The sequence below is a fragment of the Homo sapiens genome, chromosome 1 (assembly GCF_000001405.40).
Source record: "Homo sapiens chromosome 1, GRCh38.p14 Primary Assembly".
Classification (NCBI taxonomy): Eukaryota; Metazoa; Chordata; class Mammalia; order Primates; family Hominidae; genus Homo; species Homo sapiens.
Genome location: NC_000001.11, coordinates 70704443 through 70730855, shown reverse-complemented (window position 1 = coordinate 70730855; position 26413 = coordinate 70704443). Strand labels below are relative to the sequence as shown.

The 26413-nt window shown below is 37.9% G+C and overlaps 1 long non-coding RNA gene across 1 annotated transcript in view, besides 1 other annotated feature; it reads right to left on the bottom strand.

The window, feature by feature from the left end:
• Positions 1 to 24403, bottom strand: part of LINC01788 (long intergenic non-protein coding RNA 1788) — an 80016-nt gene extending 55613 nt beyond the window's left edge. The window contains exons 1-5 of the long non-coding RNA NR_125938.1: positions 24325 to 24403; positions 22875 to 23128; positions 22086 to 22135; positions 18725 to 18799; positions 17549 to 17727 (exon numbers count right to left, since the gene is read on the bottom strand). This is a non-coding gene — a long non-coding RNA (long intergenic non-protein coding RNA 1788). The remainder of the gene's footprint in view (positions 1 to 17548; positions 17728 to 18724; positions 18800 to 22085; positions 22136 to 22874; positions 23129 to 24324) is intronic.
• Positions 23797 to 24296: an enhancer, noted in NCBI's record as "H3K4me1 hESC enhancer chr1:71172243-71172742 (GRCh37/hg19 assembly coordinates)". NCBI's record gives its function as "activates a minimal SCP1, AML or CMV promoter by ChIP-STARR-seq in naive H9 embryonic stem cells {active_cell/tissue: H9 hESC(naive)}" and the evidence as "EXISTENCE:reporter gene assay evidence [ECO:0000049][PMID:30033119]".
• Positions 24404 to 26413: the final 2010 nt, after the last annotated feature.

The following is a 26413-nucleotide window of genomic DNA, read 5'->3' as shown; positions in this document are numbered from 1 at the left end:
GGATGGGTGGATGTGAGGATGGAGACCCCAATATCAAGCTGTATTCCCAGAGATCTTTCTCACTGAGGGTCATCTAGGATATTTAAATAGCCTGGGGCCTCTTTATCTAGCCAGGTCCCAATGCCACCACCCTGCTCCCTGGTCACACTGGGAGCACACTTCTACCAACCCCGCTTTAGGTTTTGTCTTTTCAGGGCCCTACTTAGCAATTGCCTTCTTTTGGGCTATAATAAATACCAGATTAGAGCACACAACCTGGGTATTTGTCCTAACTTTTTCTGTGAGCAATAGTGTGACCTTAAGCACCAACTTAATTTCCCCTAGCTTTGCTTGCCTGACTTATAAAACAATGAAAATATGTATATATCAATCTAAAGAAATAATGCAATCTTTTCCAAACCATAGTATGTGTATTACTCATAATATATGAGATGATTTATACGGTTTATGGTCAATATCTTTGTCTTGACTACTTTTATCTTCTTTTTAAGAGAAGGCAAATGGTTTTTTATTTATATAATGTTACCTTTGAAAAAAGTATATGTTTTCTAAGATCTAAATTGATTTAAATAAAAATATTAATAAAATTACAAGGAGTACACGGATATGGCAAAACAACTTGTAAAGGAAGTTGATGTATTAGAAACACTGAATTAACATATGTTGTACTTGTCGATATAAGAAAACTTATCAGCTATTCATGGGGGGGCATCTGGCCATTCCAGCACTACATTAGAAAAGGAGGTACATACCTGAATTATCCATATGTCCACTTATATTTTTGAAATTTACCAGTTAAATGCTTCACTTCCCTTTTCCCTTTGCCAGTGTATATAGTCCCAGAGCATGCAAAGTACTGCTACTGCAAACTTTCTTAGACTTCACAAATCACATCCCATCACTGCCTTCCTGTGGCTTTTAGTCCCCAACATTTTCCAGCATAAACTCTTTTCCTTCATCATCACCTGAGCTATAATCACCTCATCTCACCTTCCTCTAACCACTCAGGATTCATGTCAGCCTAGTTAGCACTTGGCTCACCCAACCTTGTCTGTTCTGCCACTGCTACCTTGCACACAACCAATTGTTTCTTCAAGATCTATTTCAAAGCCCACTTATGTCCTGAAATCTAGCTAACTACATGACTTCCAGATGTATTTATCTACCTTCTAAGTCTTTGGCATTGAATATAGTGTGTTTTGTCTAGGCTTGCATAGAAGAAAAGAAGATTAGAAATTACAGTGATGGATAATGAATACTGTGATAAAGATGTTATGCATTGTTGTGGAAGAAGTAGAACAGAAAGGTCTTAAGAGTACAGACTCTGAAGTCAGACTGTCTGGGTTTCATTCTGGCATGCCACTTGCCACTTGAAGAAATTATTCAGCCTCTCTGAGTCTCCTGGTCTCATTTGAAACTGCAGCTACTAATAGTTGCTACTTCATAAGGTTATTGTGAAGATTAAATGAGCTAGTATAGGGAAGCGCTTGGGCCAATGCCTGAAATATTGGTTATTGTTACATGCAGAGGGTACAAATGGCAACATATAAGAGGTGTCCCCAAACAGAGTTCTAACCAAGAGGCAGTCTGGAGAAAATGGTGTTTGAGTTTATTATTGCAGGACAGGTAGGAGTTAGTCAAGTGTGTGTGCTTGTGTGGGCCTGGGGTATTACAGTGAGGGTGGATTAGGCAGTGAGTACCGCAGTCACACAATCATACCATCATAAAAGTGGGGATGGAAACAAGGAGTAAAAGAGCATGGCATATTATAGAAGTGCAGGGGACATTTCTAGTGCAAGGGTCCAGGGGTAGGCAGTAATGAAACACAAGGCCACACATTTGAGGCAAGTCATAGGAAGGCTTTGCACACCGCACTAAGAAAAAAAAAGTATTTGAGTGCCTGCTATGTGCCAGATGCTGTTTTATTTTGGAGACTGGGTACCACAGTGAAAAATGCATAGCCTCTATATTTGGCATGGCCTAACTGAAAAGATAAATACATAATTAAATGATAACATGATAAATGCTTAATTGAAGATGTAACAAGCACTATGAAAGCACAATGCCTAAGTTTGTTTTTCCCAGAGACATAAGCAACATCTTAACAGATAGGTAAATGTTCACCAAACAACAGGCAAGCAATCAGAAAGGTTATGTCATTTACCAAACAACCGTTAATTATATAGCACTATGTGCCAGACCCTTTAAAAATATTATATGAGGGCCGATTAGAAACAGCTGTGGTCCATGGCTCTCATGGAGAGAAATGAAAACAACAAGTGAATTCAGCACCTTCAACTGACAAATCCAGGTTCTCTAACTGGAACTGACTAGGCAATCAACTCAACCCACAGAAAATAAAGAAAAGTAGGGTGAGGCAACAGCATCCAGGAGCTGTGTGGAGCCAAAGGAACCCTCACCCCCAGCCAAGGGAAGCAGAGAGTGATTGTGCAGCCCCACCCAGGAAATCACACTTCTCCCATGGATCTTTGCAACCCACAGATCTGGAGATCCCCTCATGAGCTCACACCACCAGGGCCTTGGGTTTGATACACAGCACTGTGCAGAGTCTCAGCAGAGCAGTCACTCAAGCACACACAGAGACCCAGGAGTTTTACAGTCTCCGGCTCCTGAAATCCCAGCAAGGCGGGAGTTCCATCTGTACATTCGCATATGAAGGGAGCTGAATCCAGGGAGCCAAGCAGCATTTTTCTGTTGGCCCCACTTCCACGGCACCTCACAAGTAAAAACCCGCTGGCTTGGAATTCCAGCTAGCCACTGCAGCAGGCTGAAGACTGCCTGAGATGGATGAGTTCCAAGAGGGAGGGGTAGCTGCCATTTCTGTGGTTAGGTCAACTCAGCCATTCTAGCCTGCCAGCTCCAGGCAGTCCAGGTGATTTCGATGAGGAGGAGTCCCCCATAACACAATACAGCTACTGTGCCAGATCATAGACAGACTGCCTCTTTAAGTGGGACCCCAATCCATCCCTCCTTCCTGGGTGGGGCCTCCCTGCAGGAATTTCAGCAACTCCAACTAGAGTTATATGGACAGAACTCTGATCTCTCCCTGGGACAGAGCTCCTGAGGGGAGGGGTGGCCAACATCTCTGCAGTTCAGTCAGCTCAACCTTTCCAGCCTGCTGGTTCTAGAGAGTCCAGGTGGTCTGGATGAAGAAGGGTTCCCCTCATTGCAGCACACCTGCTCTCCCCAAAGCAACCAGGCTGATTCTTTAAGCAGGTTCCTGATCCCATTCCTCCTGACTGAGTGAAACCTCCCAACAGGAGTCTCCAGACACCTCCCACAGGAGCGTCCAGGCCAGCAACAAGTCAGTACCCCCGGGACAGAGCTTTCAGAGGAAGGAGCAGGCTGCCATCTTTGCTGTTTCACAGCCTTCACTGGTAATACATCCAGGTAAGGGAAAAACCAAGGCAACTAGGGTCTGGAGCTATCTCCCAGCAAACAACAGGAGCCCTACAGAAGAGTGACCAGACTGTTATTAAAAAAAAAAAAAAAAAAAAAAAAAAAAAACAGAAAGCAATAACAATGTCATCAACGAAAAGAGATCCCACAAAAAAACCCATTCAAAGGTCAGAAACCTCAAAAATTGAAGGTACATAAGCCCCCAAAATGAGAAAGAATCCATACAAAAATGATAAAAACTTAAAACGCAAGAGTGCCTCTTCTCCTTCAGATGACCTCAACACCTCTCCAGCACAAAACTGAGCTGAGACTGAGATGGCTAAATTGACAGAAGTAGGCTTCAGAAAGTGGGTAATAATGAGCTACGCTGAACTAAAGGAGCATGTTGTAACCCAATGCAAAGAAGCTAAGAATAAAGATAAAACAATATAGGAAGTGATAACCAGAATAGTCAGTTTAGAGAGGAGCAAAGCTGACCTGATGGAGCTGAAAAACAGAACACAAGAAATTCACAATGTAATCACAAGTATTAATAGCAGAATAGACCAAGCAGAGGAAAGAATCTCAGAGGTTGAAAACTGTCTTTCTGAAATAAGATAGGCAGACAAGAATAGAGAAAAAAAGAATGAAAAGGAATAAACAAAACCTCCAAGAAATATGGCGCTACATAAAAAGACCAAACCTATGATTGATTGGGGTACTTGAAAGAGATGAGGAGAATGGAACCAAGTTAGAAAACATACTTCAGGATATCATCCAAAAGAACTTCCCCAACCTAGAAAGGCAGGCCAAAATTCAAATTCAGGAAATCCAGAGAACCCCAGTAAGATACTCCATGAGAAGTTCAACCTCAAAACACATAAGCATGAGATTCCCCAAGATCAAAATGAAAGAAAAAATATTAAAGCTGCCAGAGAGAAAGGTCAGGTGACATACAAAGGAAAGCCCATCAGACTAACAGTAGACCTCTCAGCAGAGACCCTACAAACTAGAAGATTTGGGGAGCCAATATTCAACATTCTTAAAGAAAAGAATTTTCAACCCAGAATTTCATATTCAGCAAACTAAGCTTCACAAGCAAAGGAGAAATAAGATCTTTTTCAGATAAGCAAATTCTGAGGGAATTCATTACCAACAGACCTGCATTGCAAGAGCTCCTGAAGGAAGCACTAAATATAGAAAAGAAAAACCATTACCAGTCACTACAAAAATGCACTGAAGTACCCAGATCAGTGACACTATGGAAGCAATCACATAAATAAGTCTGTAAAATAACCAGTTAGCATCATGATGACAGATTCGAATTTACACGTAACAATGTTAACTTTATATTGTAAATGGGCTAAATGCCCCAATCAAAAGACACAGAATGGCAAGCTGGATAAAGAGTCAAGACCCATCAGTATGCTGTCTTCAAGAGACCCATCTCACATGCAAAGACAGACATAGGCTCAAAATAAAGGGACAGAGGAAAATTTACCAAGTAAATGGAAAAAAAAAGCAGGGGTCACAATCCTAGTTTTTGACAAAACAGACTTTAAACCAACAAAGGTCAAAAAAGACAAAAAGGGGCATTATATAATGGTAAAGAATTCAATTCAACAAGAATACCTAATTATCCTAAATATATGAGCACTCAATACAGGAGTACCCAGATTCATAAAGCAAGTTTTTAGAGAACTATAAAGAGACCTATACTCCCACACAATAATAGTGTGAGACCTCTACACCTCACTGACAATATTAGACAGATCATTGAAACAGAAAATTAATACACATATCTGAGACCTTAGCTCTGGATCCAATGGACCTGATAGATATCTACAGAACTCTCCATCCAAAAACAAGAGAATATACATTCTTCTCATCACCACATAACACATACAGAAAAACTGATCACGTAATTGGAAGTAAAACACTCCTCAACAAATGCAAAAGAACTGAAATCATAACAGTCTCTCAGACCACAGTGCAATCAAATTAGAACTCAAGACTAAGAAATTTACTCAAAAACATGCAACTACATGGAAATTGAACAACCCATTCCTAAATGACTCCAGAGTAAATGATGAAATTAAGGCAGAAATTAAGAAGTTCTTTGAAACTAATGAGAACAGAGAGTCAGCATACCAGAATCTCTGGGATGCAGCTAAAGCAGTGTTAAGAGGGAAATTTATAGCACTAAATGCCCACATCGAAAAGCTAGAAAGATCTCAAATTAAGAACCTAACAACACAACTAAAAGAGGTAGAGAACCAATAGCAAGCAAACTCCATAGCCTAGCATAAGACAAAAGATAACCAAGGTCAGAGTGGAACTGAAGGAGATAGAGACACAAAAAACCCTTCAAAAAAATCAGTGAATCTGAGAGGTGTTTTTTGGAAAAAATTAATAAAATAGACAGACTGCTAGCTAGAGTAATAAAGAAGACAACCGAGAAGAATCAAATAGCAAAACTCAGAATTGATAAGGGGGATATTACCACTGACCCCACAGAAATACAAAAAACCATCAGAGAGTAATATAAACACCTCTATGCACATAAACTAGACAATCTACAAGAAGTGAATAAATTCTGGACACATACACCCTCCCAAGACTGAACCAGGAAGAAATTGAATCCCTGAGTAGACCAATAACAAGTTCTGAAATTGAGGCAGTAATAAATAGCCTACCAACTAAAAAAAGTCTGGGACCAGAGGGATTTATAGCTGAATTCTACCACAGGTACAAAGAAGATCTAGTACTATTCTTACTGAAACTACCCAAAACATGAGGAGAAGGGACTCCTCCTTAACTCATTTTATGAGGCCAGCATCATCCTGACACCAAAACCTAGCAGAGATACAACAAAATGAGAAAATTCAGGCCAATATTCCTGATGAATATTGATGCAAAAATCCTCAATAAAATACTAGCAAACTGAATCCAGCAGCACATCAAAAAGCTTATCCACCATGATCAAGTCAGCTTCATCCCTTGTATGCAAAGTTGATTCAACATACACAAATCAATAAATGTAATCCATCACATAAACAGGACTAAAGACAAAAACCCTGTGACTATCTCAATAGATGCAGAAAGGGCCTTCAATAAAATTCAACAACCCTACATGTTAAAAACTCAATAAACTAGGTATTGATGAAACATACCTCAAAATAATGAGACCCATTTATGACATACCCACAGCCAATATCATACCAAATGGGCTAGCTGGAAGTATTTCCCTTGAAAACCACCACAAGACAAGGATGCCCTCTCTGACCACTTCTATTCAACATAGTATTGGAAGTTCTGGCCAGAGCAATCAGACAAAAGAAAGAAATAAAGGTATTCAAATAGGAAGAGAGGAAGTCAAACTGTTTCTATTTGCAGATGACATGATCCTGTATATCTAAAAAACCCCATTATCTCAGCCCCAAAGCTCCTTAAGCTGATAAGCAACTTCAACAAAGTCTCAGGATACAAAATCAATGTGCAAAAATTGCTAGCATTCCTATAATCCAAAACAGGAAAGCAGACAGCCAAATCATGAATGAACTCCCATTAACAATTGCTACATACAGTATAAAATACCTAGGAATACAGCTAACAAAAAAAAGTGAAGAACCTCTTCAAGGAGAACTACAAGCCACTGCTCAAGGAAATCAGAGAGGACAAAAACAAATGGAAAAACATTCAATGCTCATGGATAGGAAGAATCAATATCATGAAAATGGCCATACTGCCCAAAGTAATTTATAGATTCAATGTTATTCCCATTAAACTACCACTAACATTCTTCACAGAATTAGAAAAAAACTATTTTATACTTCATATGGAACCAAAAAAGAGCTCAAATACCCAAGACAATTCTAAGCAAAAAGAAGAAAGTTGGAGACATCACACTACCCGACTTCAAACTATACTACAAGGATACAGCAGCCAAAACAGCATGTTACTGTTACAGAAACAGACACACAGACCGGTGGAACAGAATAGAGAACTCAGAAAAAAGACTGCACACCTACAACTATCTGATCTTCAGCAAACCTGATAAAAACAAGCAATTGGGAAAGGATTCCCTATTTAATAAATGCTGCTGGGAAAACTGGCTAGCCATATGCAGAAAATTGAAGCTAGACCCCTTCTTTACACTTTATACAAAAGTTAACACAAGATGGATTAAAGACTTAAATGTAAAACCCAAAACTATAAAAACCCTAGAAGAAAATCTAGGCAATACCATTCAGGACATAGGGACAGGAAAGGATTTCGTGATGAAAACACCAAAAAGCAATTGCGACAAGAGCAAAAATTGACAAATGGGATCTAATTAAACTAAAGAGCTACTGCACGGCAAAAGAAACTCATGAGAGTGAATACACAACCTACTGAATGGGAGAAATTTTTGCAATCTATCCATCTGACAAAGGTCTAATATCCAGAGTCTACAAGGAACTTGAACAAATTTACAAGAAAAAGCAAAAAACCGCATCAAAAAAGTGGGCATAAACAGACGCTTCTCCAAGAAAGACATTTATGGGGCCAACAAACATATGAAAAAGGCTCAACATTGCTGATCATTAGAGAAACGCAAATCAAAACCAAAATGAGACCATCTCACACCAGTCAGAATGGTAATTATTAAAAAGTCCAGAAACACAAGGTGCTGGTGAGGTTGCAGAGAAAAAGGAACACTTTTACTTCCTGGGTATATACCCAAAGGAATACAAATCATTCTATTGTAAAGATTCATGCACATGTATATTCATTGCAGCACTATTCACAATAGCAAAGACATGGAATCAACCCAAATGCCCATCAATGATAGATTGTAAAAAGAAAATGTGGTACACATACACCATGGAATACTATGCAGCTATAAAAAGGAATGATATCATGTCCTTTGCAGGAACATGGACGGTGCTGGAAGCCATTCTCTTCAGCAAACTCACAGGAACAGAAAACCAAGCACCACATGTTCTCACTTATAAGTGGGAGCTGAACAATGAGAACACATGGACATATGCAGGGGAAAAACACACATTGGAGCCTGTTGGGAGTGAGGGTGGAGGGAGGGAGAGCATCAGGAAGAATATCTAAAGGATACTGGGCTTAATACCTGGGTGATGGGTTGATCTGTGTAGCAAATCACCATGGCACACGTTTACCTATGTAACAAACCTACACATCCTGCACATGTACCACTGAACTTAAAATAAAAGTTGAAGGAAAAAATATATATACATGCCGATAGACTTCTGCTCGCTTATCTCCTGGCAAAAAAAAAAATATATATATATATATATAATTAAACTTTATAATAACTCTTTGAGGCAATTTTTATTATTCTCTTTTTAGAGATGAGGATCCCTAAGATCACACAGTAAATCCATTTTCTTGACTCTAACTACATACAACTATATATAGTTTTCTTGAGAATACAGGACTCTCCATAAAGTAAATATTATATAAGTACCGTATTTGTCAACTAGATTAAAGGAGGTTCAATTCTTGTCTGTATGTGAAGTTTCAAGTTTATAATAGTTTCCCTAAAAAATAATTTTTATTTTAAAATTTCAATGAAGAAATTCCATGGAAAGAATTCCATGGAAGGATTTGGAAGTTGCTATGATAGACAGCTGTGAAACACAACCATGTCAATACCCATACATTTAAAACTTCAGAGAATCTCTACATTATAAATTTCATAGCTGGTAAGACTGTTTCTTTCCAACACCAGTAGTCACACCATGATCACACTGCTCTTGCCCTGATAGTGAAGACAATAAGCTGTATTTAATCAGAGGGTTAACTGAGGACCACACTGATCATAATAATCTCCCACATTCTGTTGCTGGCAGGTGAGGGATAAAGTTGAAGATCATGGTAGAAAGATACAGACAAAGAGGAACATCTTTTCTTTCTCTCGTTTTTCTCCAAAGGTGTGGAGTCTCTCTGCACATCTTGTCAGACAGAAGAAAGCAGTGCTGTAAACATCAGAAGGGAGAAACCCCTTGTTCACAATAATGATGAAAAAAATATTTATTGACTGACTGACTTCAATTACTCACAATGTCCACTTACAAACTGCTTTCTTGTTTGTTGTCTTCTTCAGCCCTCATAAAATCCCTGGGATAGTTCACATCATCCCCCTCTTAGAAGGAAAAGGAAGCTTAAACAAGTTCAATAACAGAGCTAATTATAATTAGGGGATGGACTTGCACCTGGAGAGTCATTCCCAGTCCAACACATTTTACACTCCATCCCATATCTCTAGTTGATAGGTCTCTGAAATTAGTCATGGCCACAGGAAGATATTAGACTCATCATTAAATGAGCCTCTTGAGGCAATGAGGTTGATCTAATGCGCTGACTGATGGATAAGACGGCCAGGGTCATCTGGCTCCTCTTGATCCTCATCCTGTGTCTTTGCCCCCTTGCTCACTATTCTCAGCCACATCAGCCTTCTTGTTGTTCCTCGAGCAGCCCAAGTCCAAGCATGCTCCCCATTTGCCGCTGCCCCATCTGGAATTCTCTTCATGGCCACTTCCTCACAAGAAACTTGAAATAACATCACTCTCTCCTCCTGTTCTCCTTATCACTCTTCTCTGCTGTATTTTTCTCCATACCTCTTAGCACCATCTGGCATAGTAGATATTTTACTGGTGTATTTGTTTGCTATGTGTTTCTTCCCATTAGAATGTAAACTCCATCATAGCAACGATTTTTTTTAAATGTGTTTGCTGTATTTCCAGTACCCAGTGACTGGCAAATTATAGACACTGAAAAATAAATGGCAAGAGAGAGGGAAGGAGGGAGGGAGGGAAGACAGGGAGGGAGGGAGGGAGGGAGGGAGGAAGGAAGGAAGGAAGGAAGGAAGGAAGGAAGGAAGGAAGGAAGGAAGGAAGGAAGGAAGGAAGGAAGGGGAGGGAGGGAAAAGACTTGAGAAAGGCTTGAATTCTGACTCCACTACCTTCTTCCTGGCTGGGTAACTTTGAGTTACTTTATTCCTTGATCAGTTTCTACCTCCCTACAATGTAGGGTTTAGATTTAAACACTTCTACGAGCCCAACACTAAAGTTCTATCATTCTGTGCTTTGTGATTCTATGTTTCCCTTGGCTACTGACACAAAGAAGGAGGTAAACAGTTGGTCTCAAGGGAAAAGGGCTGTACATATCTGTGGGCTCTTCCTCCTGCTCCTGTCACCACAACAACTAGTGTGTGGAGCACAACTAGCCTGACCCTCTAGTGAGTAAAAAACTTATCTATTTGGTTTTATTTAAGAAACATCAGGAAAGCTACCACTTGAACAAGAATATCTTTCCCTAGAGGTTTTTGTTAATACTCAAAATTCTACAGTAGACAGAATTCTTGTGGGCACTATTCCTTATCAAATCAAAAATGTCCTTTGAAACCTCTTATTGGTCACCAATAAAGAAGAGGACTTTGGAGTCCAGGAGACCTGGATGGGAAGCTTGATGGCTCCAAGAACTTGAGCAATTGACTTACCTCTCTTAATCTTCTATTTGCAATCTGTAAAATGGGGGAAATTTATGGTAATTGCTTTACAGGGCTTTTGTGAGTATTAAATGCAATGAGCCCTTTAAAGCAACTCAGTAAGTGATCAGTAAATTGTAGCTATTTTCATCCTTTTGGATAGTGTAGGAATGATTTTATCTGATACAAATGATCAGCCTCTAGAACGGGTGCTGGACTTGTTAATAGGCACATTCTGGGTAAGAGAAGAAAATACAGCGTTAGAACACAAGAGTAAATACCTAGTTAGAAAGCCAGAAAATTGTGTGAGGAGACTGGGGCTACTGGGCAGTCTGGAGTCACAGGGCTGCATCAGGAAGAAAGGCATCAAAGACCCAAACTTGGTCTGCAGTCATTTCAGCCACAATCCTCTTTCCCAATGATGTTTTAAATCTTTGAAATGCACTTACTGACTTTTTGGTTAGCCAAGGCCACAGATCATTGTAACTCAGAAGATATCATACATCACCTCACATTAAATCAGTGCATTCCTAGCAGACACTCAGTTCTCTCTGCAGAAGAAATGGCCATTATGTAGTGGCTCTCAGTTCTTGGATCAGCCAGGAAAATTATCAGCAGAGGTCAAAGTTGTTTGAGAAAAGCAAGGAAAGTACTGAAATCTAAGGCGATTCCCAGTCATTAATCAAGACTAAATGAAAACATTGTTTCTGTGCCTAACGCACTGACATCTTGTGTATAAACTAGAGATTTCTTTTCTTGTGTACAAAATTTTCATTTCAGTGATTACATCATGTTTCAAAACATGGAATGTTTTGAATGCCAAGGAAAAGGAGTGGGAAGTAATCCAGAAAAATAGCTTTGTATCAAAAATAAAAAGGAATAAGTGCAAGTGAAATTGAGGATCATTATGAGTGTCTGCCTCCTAATTAAGCCAGCTCCTGTTTTACCAAATATCATTAAGTGTTTTTTTCATATTCTCACCATCTTTTGCATCAAGTATCTGAATTGTGTAATACTCCATATTAGGCAATAATCACCATACTCAGTAAGAAAAATTAAAACTAAATTTTTAGGGCAATAGAAATAGGAAATGGCATTCTCTTAAATGTATTTTTTACCGCCTGATAAACTACACATTTATGATGTGGCCTCTTCCTAAATAATTCAAATTTGGGTTAGTGCAATATCTGATTCAATATTTGACTTCGATAAGTATTGGCAAATTTGAGGACATTTTTCTTGACTCTGAAATAATTGTTTGCTCCAAATAACTAAGTAATATGCAAATATCAGCCATTTGGCATTTCTTAAAGACTGCTCACAATGCTAATGTCAGACTTAGGAACTCCTCCCTTGCAGGTCACACTGCACCTTATATATGTGGTAGCACAATTCACATTGAAGTGCTGTTTTCTGTCTCTCCAGTTAGGCTGCCAGCCCTTGAGGGCGAAAACATTCTAATTCCATCACTATCGTGGTGGCCTGGCACACACTAAGCATTCTTTTTAATATATTTAAAAATAATAAGCAAATATTTGATGAATTGGTCACCACTGGGAATGTGAGATTATGTTAGATTCAACTGAGCTTACAAGTTAGTTGGATACATAACATATGCAAAGGTAAATGACCATTCAAGAGTTGAAATACCATCAGAGGCTAAACTTTTATAGGGAAGAGTACCTGGACTATCACTTTTATGGAATGAGGATAAACAGTACCTCATGCTGAGTAGGAGTTTAGGCTCTGAAATCAGATGGAACTGGGATAGTCACTTGACTTTACCATTTGCCAGCTGTGTAAACTTGGGTAAGTTGCTGTCAAAGAACAATGAGACCATTACATGATACCTGAAATAAAAAGACAAAGCTGAATGCGTTGCTACTACAGAAAAAAAAAAGTGGATGCTTTAGATCAGTCACAGGCTCTGTTGGTCTTCAGTGGGTTTTAAGGGAAGCATGCAGTTCAAGGAGACTTGGAGAGGTGAAGATAAGTTAACATTATTTTTAGAAGTTTGATTACTGGGGATAGGGACTGTGGTGGATTGGTTGAAACTCTGGGATATGTTTATTGGAGTGAATCCTGATTGGCTAACTTTCAGAAGCAAAGAGCTGGCCCTGATTAGTTGGTTTATAAAAGCGTGTTCACTGCAGCAGATGTTGAACAAGTAACTGGGTTTAAAACCAGTTCTGTTGACTACTTGTTGCCAGGGCTACAGAACAATTAGTTTTCTCTTATGTTTGCAAAAATTTATTTAACCTTTCAAAATTTTGTTTTTTCAGTCTGTAAACCCCACAGGATTTTTATGAGGATTTTAAGAGATAATGCTCACAAAGAACATACACTAACTTGCCACAAAGTATTTAATAAAAGTTACATTTATACATTTAACATGCACACAAAACATTTTGTCTATAAGGTAAATAGAGTTTTTATGAAATGTGACCTGAATACTTTTGCCAAACATCATAACACATTGTCATCCACTTCCTCTCTTCTTCAAGACCGAGTGTAAATACACATATTAACTAGGAGTCTGCCTTCTTTCTGTTCTCCCTTAACCTGCCTTGTATTCTGATGGCATGCAATAAATAAAAGAGATGTCGTACAGTGCACTGAGAGAAAATGGGAGGTGTGGTAGACTAGATTATTTTCTCTAATCCTTCACTCTCACCTTTTAATAAAATTGTACATCCATGCCCTTGCCACATGACCTACAATATCTCCCACCAGGTTAAGTAGAGTACATGTCTCACCTCACTGTTCCCACTCTTGGCCATGAAAATTGCTTTGGCCAATGGATTGTAGCACATGTGGTGCAAACAGTTTTAGGTTTGCTTGCAGTATTTGGCTTGACATTCTGCATGGCTCCATTCTACATAGACGTATGTGGGAAGTAAAAGCATAGAGGATCTCTGATGCACAACTAAGACAATATGGATGAGTAACAATTAGATGAGACATATCTAATGTGTATGAGTGTCAAGGCTTGTCGGTTAAGAGCAAGCATAATTCTCTGGCAGAAACGATGAAGAGAACTTAATACCACATTATCAATATTATAAAAAGATTTTCCTAGAAACAGATTCCAAGACTTCTGAGAATGAATGATGTCACACTTTCAGAGGTTCTTTCAGTTAGGGTTCTTTGCTTGAAAGAAATACAATCTGACATTTGTCAACCAAAGCAAAAAGGAAAATTATTATAGAATGTGGTCTACCTTATGGAATCAGATGATCAAGGTGGAAGTTAGAGCAGCTTTGAGCATGAACTAATGGACACTGGGTTAAATGAGCTACAATTGGTTTTGTCCATGTGTCCTTCCCCACAAGTTTCCAAATTCCAGAATAGTGAGTCTGATTGTCTGGGTTTATGTCACATCCCTCTGCACAACTAGGTTACAAATAATGGACGAGAGATAAGTTATTCAGGAAGAGGTTTTCAATTGACAAAAAATGAATACTGGATACCGGGTGGCAAAAATAACAACTGCACAGATGCACAGCTCTTGTTTGGGTTATTTCACAGACTTGTATTGTGGAGTGTTTTGCTCAGTTCTTGGCCCATAGTAAACACTCAATAAATATTTGTTAAGTGAATATTGAATTAATGAGCATTGAACGAATGATCTCAAGTTCATTGACAATCTCCAATTTTCATCTTCTGTATTGGCCAGGCATGGCTGCTCACATCTGTAATCCCAGCACTTTGGGAGGCCAAGGTGGGAGCACTGCTTGAGCCCAGGAGTTTGAGGATTGACGCCAGCCTGGGAAAAAAGGCAAGAACTCCATCTCTAGAAATATATATATATATATATAAAATGCATATATGAGCCAGGCATGATGTTGCATGCCTATAGTGCCAACTACTCAGGAGGCTGAGGTGGGAGAATCCCTTGAGCCCAGAAGTGTGCAGCTGCAGTGAGCCATGATTACTCCACTGCACTTTAGCCTGAGCAACACTGTAAGACCCTATTTCAAAAAAATAAAAATAAAATAAAATAAAATAATAACACCAAAATCTGTCTTATCATCCACTCATTTGCCTCAAAATACATTTGGATGCTATGATAGAAATTATTTAGAAAATTTAGTGCTCTACATAATTATAAGGGAGTTGAGTTTCTTATATACAATAACTTGAATTTGTTGGACGCTTCTAATAGGCCATCCACCCTGCTACGTATCTTACATAAATCATTTCATTTCATTTGATCTTCAAACTCTATAAGGTAATAATGTTAGTAAGCAACCTTCTCCTGCTTCCATTTTACAGATGGAGAAACTAAGGCTGGGGTGGGTGATGCTGTATGATTTGTTTAAGATGTCATCGTAAGTGACAGAGTAGGGATTTGAATACAGAATTGCATTACTTCAAAGGCTACACTCTTAACCACTAAACCTAACAGCCTCTCTGACTTTTCTGATCTAGAAGGATCTTGCAGATTTCAGGATCATTACTGTTAGCAAAAGTTATCTTTGAAATATTAATATACAATGTTGGGAAAATGGCACACCATGTTATTTGAGCCCTCTAGTTTAGATTATGAATAATTCAAATATTATAAAGTCAAATATCATGTGTCTTAGAAAGTGTTACCTTTGATTAAACTAATATTAAAAGTCTGTGTAAAATTTCAGAACAGCTTTGATTCCCTAGGTTAGATCCATTTCCATAAGAATTATATTAATTTATGAATGTCTAGTTAATTTCTTTCATGAAAGGATTATAATTTCAGATACCAAGGGTTTGGCCAAAATAAAGATGTCTCTTCAAAACTAAAATATAAACTTAAAAGTTTAAATTACATATTCCAGATTATTTCTCATAAACGTAGAACTCTCATTTCAAAAGACTAGAATGCAATAAACTGTTTATATTTTAAATTTCTAAACTTTCAGAAGAGAAGCTAACTGGTGCCCGTCAGCTCATCACTATTTTAAACAATTCATTTGCATTTCATGGCTATGAGGTTTGTCTTTTCTCTCTTTGTAAGGTGTTCCTAATAGGAACAACTTTGAAAAAAAGTATACTTTGTTTTCACTTTTGCGTTTATTTTTATAACATTTTCAACTTATCTACACAATGAAAGGAAAAACAAGTTCAGGAAGTTTAGGGCCCTGACTTTTTTCCACTCACACTACTATTACTAAAAGACTTGGAAGCCTAAATTATTTATATGTAATCTACATTGTCTGAATTCAATAACGAATAATTCAAACTTTCATTTTGGCTCAGCAAAATAGCTTTGAGGGACAAGTAAATATGGTTTTTGAAGCGGTGGAACTACTTTGACCCGGTAATTATTTATCAACTAGAATGCCTCCAGGTACTGTTAACCAAAAATACGAGTAAAATCTTCTCAAATAATAAGAACCTTTGAAATTCTTTTAACAAGAAATTCAAAGGTGGGGAAGGCCCAGAGTTGGTTAATTTGGCAGTTCATATCACAGCTCTGCATCTTCTATTCATTGATTTTTGCCCTTGGGCTTGTGCCTTCTTCATTGCAAGAGGACTTCTGCAGCCATGGGCAGCAGATCCCCACAATACAACCTCCACAGGCTGAAAACAGGAATGTTCCTGATTGGTGCCCTCTCTGTTTTCCCAAAAGTCAACAGATCATCCCTGACCTCTCCTGGCCAGAAGTGATTCGCTTGCCTATTTTTAAACCCATCACAGGCAGGCAGAATGGAATAAATTGCCCTAGGACTATTAAGACGTATTCCCTGTGCTGAGGAGAAACCCAGGTACCCATGAAGCACATAGCCCCAGTAGATAAAATTGAATTTAATACATAAATGGAATGAGGGATGAATTATTGTTGGACAGACAACTGAGAGTATCTGCCATGGATTTTTAGCTACTTTTTTATAACACTTAAAATTTTTCACACTCTTTTAGATATGTGTTTTCATTCTTCAAACAATCTGGAAAAGGGGAATGGAAACCTGATTATTTCTACCCTACAAATGAGAAAAATGAGGTCAGAGAAGCTATGTGGCTTGCCTAAGACCATGAAACTAATAATAGCATCCTAAATCTACATTGTATTCATTTTTTAAATAATCACAATATGTTAGGAACTCCTAAACAACAGGAAGTTATATTTATCAATTTTCCTTTTAAAACATGCAGGCCTTTATATATTATTTTTTAATGGCAGAAAAATAGGAATCTCTCTGACATTTCTCCTTCTGATATGCATTTCTGTTTGGTAGGCACATTAACCTACTGTGAATCTGTGTAACACCCTCATACAAAGAAAAAAAAAGTCTTTATAATTTAATGTGGCAAAAAGTTGAAAACTATTTCAAAAGAAAAATGAACTAATTTTGCTATGGTTTGCCAACATCCAACCTGTGTGACGATGACACTGAATTTTACTGATGCAGAATTACAGAGAATGTCACTATCCTTAAGATCATTTAGTGCAATAAAAGACAGAGAGGGAACCTAGTGGAGTCAGCTAGCCCAAATTTTGCCTCTGTGCTGGACAAATAGTTAGATTCTATCTCACTTTAAAATATCTGCAGGGAAAGATAATTTTTAACCAGCAGTGATGTTTTTCTAAATTGATGTAAAATGCTCCAGATTATAGGTAACTGAACTCATCTCAGTTGTACTCACAAAAGGACCTTTCCTTACCTTTCTGTGAGCAAAGAAGATGCGCTGCTATGAGGGTATCATTCTCTTCAGTAAGGTCAGGTTTAACCTTCTTGTAAATTCTGCTACCTCTCCTCTTTTTTAGAAGGTTTTATTACATAGTAAACTCTAATTTATTCATTCTTCTCACCATTATTTTTAGAATGCAGCAGTCCAATCCCCTAAAAAAGTAAGTAGTCATGAAGGATTCTTTAACATTACCTTTTATGGTTTTCAAAAGCATGTTACTTCTACCAATCTATTCTATAGGAATATGTCAAAATAATGAAAATTTGGGAAGAAAATAAATGACTATCCATAGAAGCACAGTTAAATACATTGTTGTACAATTGGTCCTTGAACAACATGGGGGTTAGGAGAGCTGCCCCACCCCATGCAGTCAAAAATCCAAGTATAACTTTTGACTCCTCCAAAACTTACTTACTAATAGCCTATTGTTAACTGGAAGCCTTACTGATAACATAAACAGTTGATTAACATTTTTTTGCATGTTATAGGTATTTGTGATGGTTAATACTGAATGTCGACTTGATTGGATTGAAAGACACAAAGTATTGATCCTGGGTGTGTCTGTGAGGGTGTTGCCAAAGAATATTAACATTTGAGTCAGTGGGCTGGAATAGGCAGACCCACCCTTAATCTGAGTGGGCACAATCTAATCAGCTGCCAGTGCGGCTAGAATATAAGCAGGCAGAAAAACGTGAAAAGAGAGACTGGCCTAGCCTCCTAGCCTACATCTTCCTCCCATGTGGGATGCTTCCTGCCCTGGAACATCAGACTCCAAGTTCTTCAGTTTTGGAACTCCAACTGGCTCTCCTTGCTCTTCAGCCTGCAGGCGGCCTATTGTGGGACCTTGTGATTGTGTGAGTTAGTACTTAATAAACTCATATATATAATACTTAATAAACTCATATACATATATATGAGTTTATTAATATATATGAGTTTATTAAGTATATATATGAATTTATTAAGTATATATAGATACTTAATAAATATATATATATTCTGTTAGTTCTGTCCCTCTAGAGAACCCTGACTAATACAGTATTATATACTGTATTCTTACAATGAAGTAATCTAGAGAAAAAAATTATTAAGAAAATCATAAGAAGAAAAATTATTAAGAAAATCATAAGCAAGAGAAAATATATTTACGATTCACTAAGTGAAAGTGGATTATCATAAAGGTCTTCATCCTCATCACGTTCACGTTGAGGCTGAACATGTAGGCTGAGGAAGAGGAAGAGGAGAAGTATTAATGTCTCAGGAATGGCAGAGATGGAAGAAGTGAAGGAGCTAGAAGGGCAGGCAGGAGAGGTAGGCATACATGGTGTAACTCTAAGGAAATACATTGTAATTTCTGACTTTTTTGATTTTTCATTTATCTAAAAATGTTCCTATAAAGTAACAACCCTTCTTCCACCATTTGCTTTAGTTTCGGTGCCTATATCACAGAGGAGTCCATGTTGTAAAAGAAGTCAAAAGCAGTCTTGAATAATGGCAACCCTCCTGCCAGCTAATGACAATGTGTTTTTGGGTGCTGTTTTTTTCTGTCTTCCTCTTTATCTGGCACTGGTTCAGAAGCACCCATCCCCATCAACCCATCTTCTGTTAATTCCTCTGGTGCAGTGTCCATTAACTCTTGCATTTTTCCAAGATCCATATCCTGAAATCCTTCAACCCTCACATTTTTTTTTGTTTTTTTGTTTTTGCCATATCCACAATCCAGTTCATACTTTCTTTGACTGGCTCCATTGTAAATCCTGTGAATGCATGCACAACCTCTGGACACAGTTTTCTCAAGCACAAATTTATTATTTTGGGTCTGGTGTCTTTCACAGCTTTTTCTATAACAATAATGGCATCTCAAATGCTGTAATACTTCCAGACTTTCATGATGTTCTCTCTTTCAGGCTTGTCTTGCATAGCATTGACAATCCTTTCTGTAGAGTACTATGTGTAATAAGCCTTAAAGGGCTTTATGACCCTCTGATCTAGAGGCTGATTTTAGGACATTGTGTGGAGGGGGAAGGTAGATGCCTTCAGTGTTGAACTCAGGGTTTTGCATGGCCAGGGAAATTGTCCAATAACAAAAGAACTTTAAAAGGCAGTCCCTACTGTCAAGGTACTTCTTGACTTCAGGGACAAAGCGTTGATGGGGAAAAGGTTCTCATTGTCCAGGCCTTCTTGTTGTACAACCAAAAGACTGGGAGCCGGTGTTTGTCTTTTCCTTTCAAGGCTTGAGAGTTAGCAGCTTTATACATAACAGCAGTCTTGCTCATAACTTGGCTGCATTTGCACAAAACAGTAGTTAACCTATCCCTTCCTGCCTTAAATCTTGGTGTTCACTTCTCTTCCTTACTAAAGTCCTTTACCAATTTTTTTCCAGAATAGGGCACTTTCATGGACATTAAAAATCTGTTCAGGCAGATCTTTTTTCTTCTTAATGACTTTTTGGGAATTTGCTGAATCTTGGTCAGTAGAAGCTGGTTCTCCTGTTATCTTGACATTGTTTAAGCCAAACCTCATCCTAAAATTATCAAACCATCCTTTGCTGGCATTAAATTATCCAGCTTTAAACTTCCTTCACCTTCCTCTTGCTTTAAGTTGTCATATAATGACTTTGCTTTTTCTCAAATCATATTAGAGTCTATCTGCATGCCTTTCACATATTCACGAATTTCTTTTTTTCACAATGGACTTTATGTTGAATTTCTTTATCTTGAAATGACAGGCAATCATAGCTGCAGACCTCAATCTACAGTACATATCAAGCAATTTAACTTTTTCTTGTAAAAGTCCTGACTTTTTTTTGCTTCTTGGAAGCACTTACAGCATCATTAGTGGCACTCTGTATGAGTACCATGGTGTTATTCAGGGTTTACAATATTGCACTAAACACAATGAAAAATACATGAGAACTGTGAGAGGTCACTTTTTATTGCAATATGCAATTTATGTGAGAGTTGAACTTATCATACACTCATAATTAGCATCACACAGTGCTTTAAGTGGATACTCACAAAAATAGCTTGAGCTAACTGTAATAGCAGCAGGAAATGCCTAAGAAATTATTACAGTAGTACAATATACTACGGTTAATTTTGTGCAATTACAATTTAATACTGCATCTTTGTGTTTGTTTAAATTTCTCTCAACTGCAAATCGCACTATGTATGGTATGTAAACATGTAAGTTTTTTTTTTTTTTTTTGAGGTGGAGTCTCACTCTGTCGCCCAGGCTGGAGTGCAATGGCGCGATCTTAGCTCACTGCAAGCTCCGCCTCCCAGGTTCACGCCATTCTCCTGCCTCAGCCTCCGGAGCAGTTGGGACTACAGGAGCCCGCTACCACGCCCGGCTAATTGTTTTTGTATTTTTAGTAGAAACGGGGTTTCACCGTGTTAGCCAGGATGGTCTCAATCTCCTGACCTCGTGATGCGCCCGCCTCGGCCTCCCAAAGTGCTGGGATTACAGGCGTGAGCCACCGCGGCCGGCCAGCATGTAAGTTTTTATAAATTTTAAGTTTCAATAATAATTTCTGTGCATTTTGTGGTAGCAAATGATACAATAGACTAGTATCTGCGTAAGTTTTATGCATGATTGGCATATGTAACTTTTTCTTAATTAAAAAAATTCCTAGATTACACAGTTTATCTGTGAGTTGTTTTACAAATTGTAGGGAATTTCCAAAATATTTTCCAATATATTTATTGGGAGCTAAATGATGACAACACATGGACACATAGAGTGGAACAACAGACACCGGGGCCTTTTGGAGGGTGGAGGGTGGGAGGAGGGAGAGGATCAGGAAAAATAACTAATAACAGATAACTAGGCTTAATACCTGGGTGATGAAATAATCTGTACAACAAACCCCCATGACACAAGTTTTTGTGCTTATGTATTTATCCAGCTTTGGATGTCCTTCACCTTCCTTTTGTTTTAAGTTGTCATATAATGACTTCACTTTTTCTCAAATCATATGAGAGTCAATCTGTATGCCTTTCACAGCTTCATGAGTTTCTTTTTTTAACAATGGTCTTTATGTTGAATTTCTTTTTACTTTGAAATGACAGGCAATCATAGCTGCAGACCTCAATCTACAGTACATATCAAGCAATTTAACTTTTTCTTGTAATGTCCTGACTTCTGCCCCTGAACTTAAAATAAAAGTTAGAAAAAAAGTAAAAAATCCACGTATAAGTGCACCCACACAGTTCAAACCCATGTTGTTCAGGGTAAACTGCATATACATAAAATGGAACATTAGGCAGTTCCTCTTAAAATGTGGTAAATTTATAAAGATACTGTGAAAAGAAGAGAAAAATAAACTTAAATCAAGGAGAAAGAAGTATTAGAGAGGAGATAAATGAAACAAAATAGAAAGACAATAGAGAAAACCAATAGAATCAAAGTATGGCTCTCTAAAAAATGTGGTAAATTTATACATAATGATGTAGAAGACATATATCATAAATTGTTATATTTACAAAGCAAGATGTGGAACAATACTTACCCTATATTTCACTTTTTCTTTCAAAAATGTTATATGAGTATAGAAAATCTCTGGAAGGATACACAGCACTGTGTTAACAGTCATTACTTGTCTGACAATAGTACTAAAGAATAAAGTACAATTGTTAGGCATTGCATAACCATGGGGACACATCCTGAGTAATTTGTCATTAGGTGATTTTGTCATTGGTGAACATCATAGAATGTAGTTACACAAACCTAGGTCGTACAGCTTAATACAACATAGGCTATATGGTATAGGCTACAAGCCTAAACAACATGTTACTGTAATAATACTGTAGGCAATTGTAACACAATGGTAAGTATTTTTGTATCTAAACATATCTAAACATAGAAAAAATATGGTATGATAATCTGTGGGACTGTCATTGTATATGAGGTCCATCATTGCCCATAGCATCATTATGTAGATCATGACTATCTTACTTTTAACTTTATATATTTCTATGTAGTTGGCTAAGTATTATATTTATAATTTTTAAATAACCTAAAGATGAAAAAGTAAAAATTAAAGTCTTGGAATATTTTAACCCATTGGTCTTTTAGTAGAGTGATTTGATTAAAGGTATTGTAAGGAGGCAGTGTGGTGCAATGATGAGCACACTGCCCAGGTTTGAATACCGGCTCCGCTGCTTACTAACTATGCATGCTTGGGCAAATTACTTCATTTATTTGTGCCTCCATTTCCTCATCTATGAAATGAAAATAATCAGAATGCCAATTTAGATTGTTGTAAAAATAAAAGGAAATAGCATGTGAAAAATCCTACCTTAAAACAGTACCTGGAACACTGTAAAGGTTCATTCAATGTTAGCAACTGGTAGATGAAGTAGTGCAGAAAGAAAAGATGCCTGAATGAAAATAATCTAACCAGTTGATCCCAGAGCTGGGATTTTAACGCGGGCTGCCTGTTTCCTGGTTCAGTAGCCTTTGAACGATAGACTTTGTTTTTTCTCTTTTACATAACTATTCTCGAGTTTCAGAGATCATTTCAATTTTCTTCATTCTTTATTCTAGAGGAAGCTGTTTCCCGCATTAAAACATGGTATGTATAGAAAACTCAAACAGGAAGACAAAACATCAAGAAAATTTTTAAGATACAGGGGTAATAATTCATTCAATAAATCCGGTAATATCCTAAAAACTTATTTTCTTAAATTTAATCTCCTGTGGTTATCAGCAAGATGTATGCACTGTTAACAATGAAAACATAGAAATCTGCTGGCAAAATTTAACCTGAAAATAAGTTATGAAAAAGAAATCCTCCAGAGTATGACCAGCATGTCATGACAGTTTTATAGACATGCATAACAGCTGCAGCAATTCTTCATTATGTGTTAAGTATTACACACATTATGTTCTCAAAAATATGTCACAGTAAGCTGTCAACTGCACTCCTTCTTTACTTATCTCACAAAGTAAAACAAATAGGGAATTTTTAATTTAACACCATCTGAATCAACTACCAGTGTTCCATTTTCTACTGACAGAAACACTAAACATTGAAAAATATTATTTCCTAACATAAACAAGGTCTGCTAATTATTTTCTGCAAAATTTTATGGATATTTAAAAGAGAAAGAAAAATGATCTGCAGTGTGGCTACTCTAGCTCTGGTTCTCAGGTCTGAAAACATCATTCTTCCTATTTCTTCTAACATCATGTGTGGTTTAGTTTCCTTGGTGGATCGCTGACTTCCACAGTCCCTTTAATAGGGACAGGAAACAGGAAAATATTGGGTAGAAGAGGGCTGTTTCCCGGCAAAGGCCCCACCCTCAAGCCTGGATACCCGTGGCCCTAAATAAGAACAGGCATTCCTGTTTTCACGCCCAAAAATTTGCCTTTTGGCCCACCACGCCCCCTATACCCATATGAACTCAGAATTCCAGGCTCCAGAGCCGATGAGCAGGCAAGGAGATGAGGAGACAAGCAGATAAACGGCAGAACGACATGACAAAGAGAGAAGAGGAGCGACGTCTGAACGCCCAGAGGAGTTCCGCTGGGGGCGATTGGAGAGGAGTTCAGCCGCTGAATGGCGAGGCTCCGGGGGAAGATCATCTTCCCACTCCATCCCCCACTCCGGCTCCCTATCCATTCCGCTGAGAGCCACCCCCACTACTCAACAAAACTCTCGCATTCATCCTTGAGTCCCTCTGTGCGACCCGATTTTTCCGGGACGCTGGACAAGAGCTCAGGATACAGAAAGTTGTTACACTGACCCGCTGCCCTCGCAGAAAGGCAAACGGTCCACCGAGCTGGTTAACACTCAAGCCGTCCGCGGATGGCAAAGCTAAAATGGCGCACTGTAACACACGCCCACTTGGGCTCCTTCACCTGCCTGCGCGCTCCCCATCCTGTAAGGGGTTTTGAGCAGTAACGGGGACAGAACAGGCGAGCACCCCTGTCGCACGCCCTATGAAGGGGATCAGAGAACTCTCCCATTTCACCTTCACATCACTTTTCTTCCCATTCAAAATACCTCTACCTGGCATTGCTTTTTCTCTACCCAATCAAGGCCTGGGAGAATATGCCTTCTTTGACTCATACTAAAAACAGGAAGCAAAGGGTTGGGGTTGCTTTGAAAGACTGGCCTTCTCATCTTCTCTTATTAACCTGAGCATAGAACAGAGTGCACATTTAAAAAAAAAAAAAGGAAACTTATTTCCACCAAACTCTACCATTTTTGCTGCATCTACTAGAAAATGTCTATGGAATTTCCACACAACCATAAGGGATGGGTTGAAATTCCAGAGAAGAAACATAGCTAATACATACAGATCCCTTCTTGGCAGAGTATTAGGATTTGAAATTAAGGAGAGAAAAAGGGAAAACTATAAATACAATAATACTGGAAGATACTATTTCTATAGTTATTTGGCTTTGCAAATGCACTAGTCAAGAATGTTCAATTCCTTGACCTAGGGATTTTGGTGATCTACAGTGCTTTCTTTTGTTCTGTCAAAAAATAATTTGATGTAGTCAATCATTGCCACAGGGTTATTTTATCATAATGCTTTCATGTATAAAATTACCATTTCAATATTTTTATATGTTTTATTTATACTACCAAGTTCTTCTATCTTTATTCTCTTTTATACTTTATAGCTCATTTAAACCACTACTATATTCTAGCTTTTTTCTGAGTGTTTCACAACCATCTTGGTTAAAAGCATTAAGGACTCAGTTTATTATGAACTGTGTTTCCTGTCTTTCTGGATAGGAACAAGGCTCTTCAGAATCTTGGTGGCAATATCCATAGCTCTTGACAGATTTACCTGCTTCCTTCACATTTTATCCAAACAAGGTGACTTTGTTACTTGCCCTCTTGTTTTATTTAAAAGATAAGTACTTTTGTTTACTACAAACACTCTAGACAAATATTTAATAATAAATACATCCTAGATGTACATCAGGACTCTTTCCCAAAAACCATGGCTGGAGAGGACAGGGATATGAAGCCAAAAACATTGTAGCACAGCAAGCCATTTAGGTTGCTTTCTCAATTAAAACTCTGCTTCAAACCTACAGTGTCATCAAATAAACGAACATTACAGCAAAGTATGGACCATTACAGACCCATCACTACTTCTGTAAACTAGTATTTTATTTACAAATAGTATGTAGTTTAGAGGTGAAGAACATGAACTCTTGAGTCAGACAAACCTGAACCCGTTTGCCACCGATTGGCTATGTGAACTTGGGCAAGGATTTTAGTCTCTCTTATGCCCAGTTTTTCAATATATGAAGTAGAGACGCCCATAACAAATGCTTCATGGACTTATTGGGAAGAGTAAGTAAAATGATCTTTATAAAAATAGCCAATATGGTGCCTGAGACTCATTAGATGCTTGACAAAAAATAAGTAAGATGATTCATTCATTTCTTCATTTATTTGTGCTTTCAGTAAATATCTGGCACTAAGAATACACAGTGAAGAAAAGGGATAAAAATCTCTACTTTCATAAGTTTGCAGTCTAGTAATAGAGACAATAAACAAGATCAATAAATATAATACATGATGTGTTTGTGCAATTCTAGGAAGACGAATGAAGCAGGGGATAAATATTGAAAGGGTATACTAGTGGTAGTGGGTGTATTTTTAAATTGAGTGGTGAGAAGGGCTCTATTCTGAAGGTGATGATTATATAAAATCATGAAAACTTCTACAATTTTGTATGCCTAACTGGGATTATATATAAAATAAAAATTTCAGAACGTAAGCTCCCTGAGGTCAAGAATTATGTTTATTACCATACCCTTCATGATAGTGCTTGACATGTAGGTGCTCAATAAATATTTAATGAATAT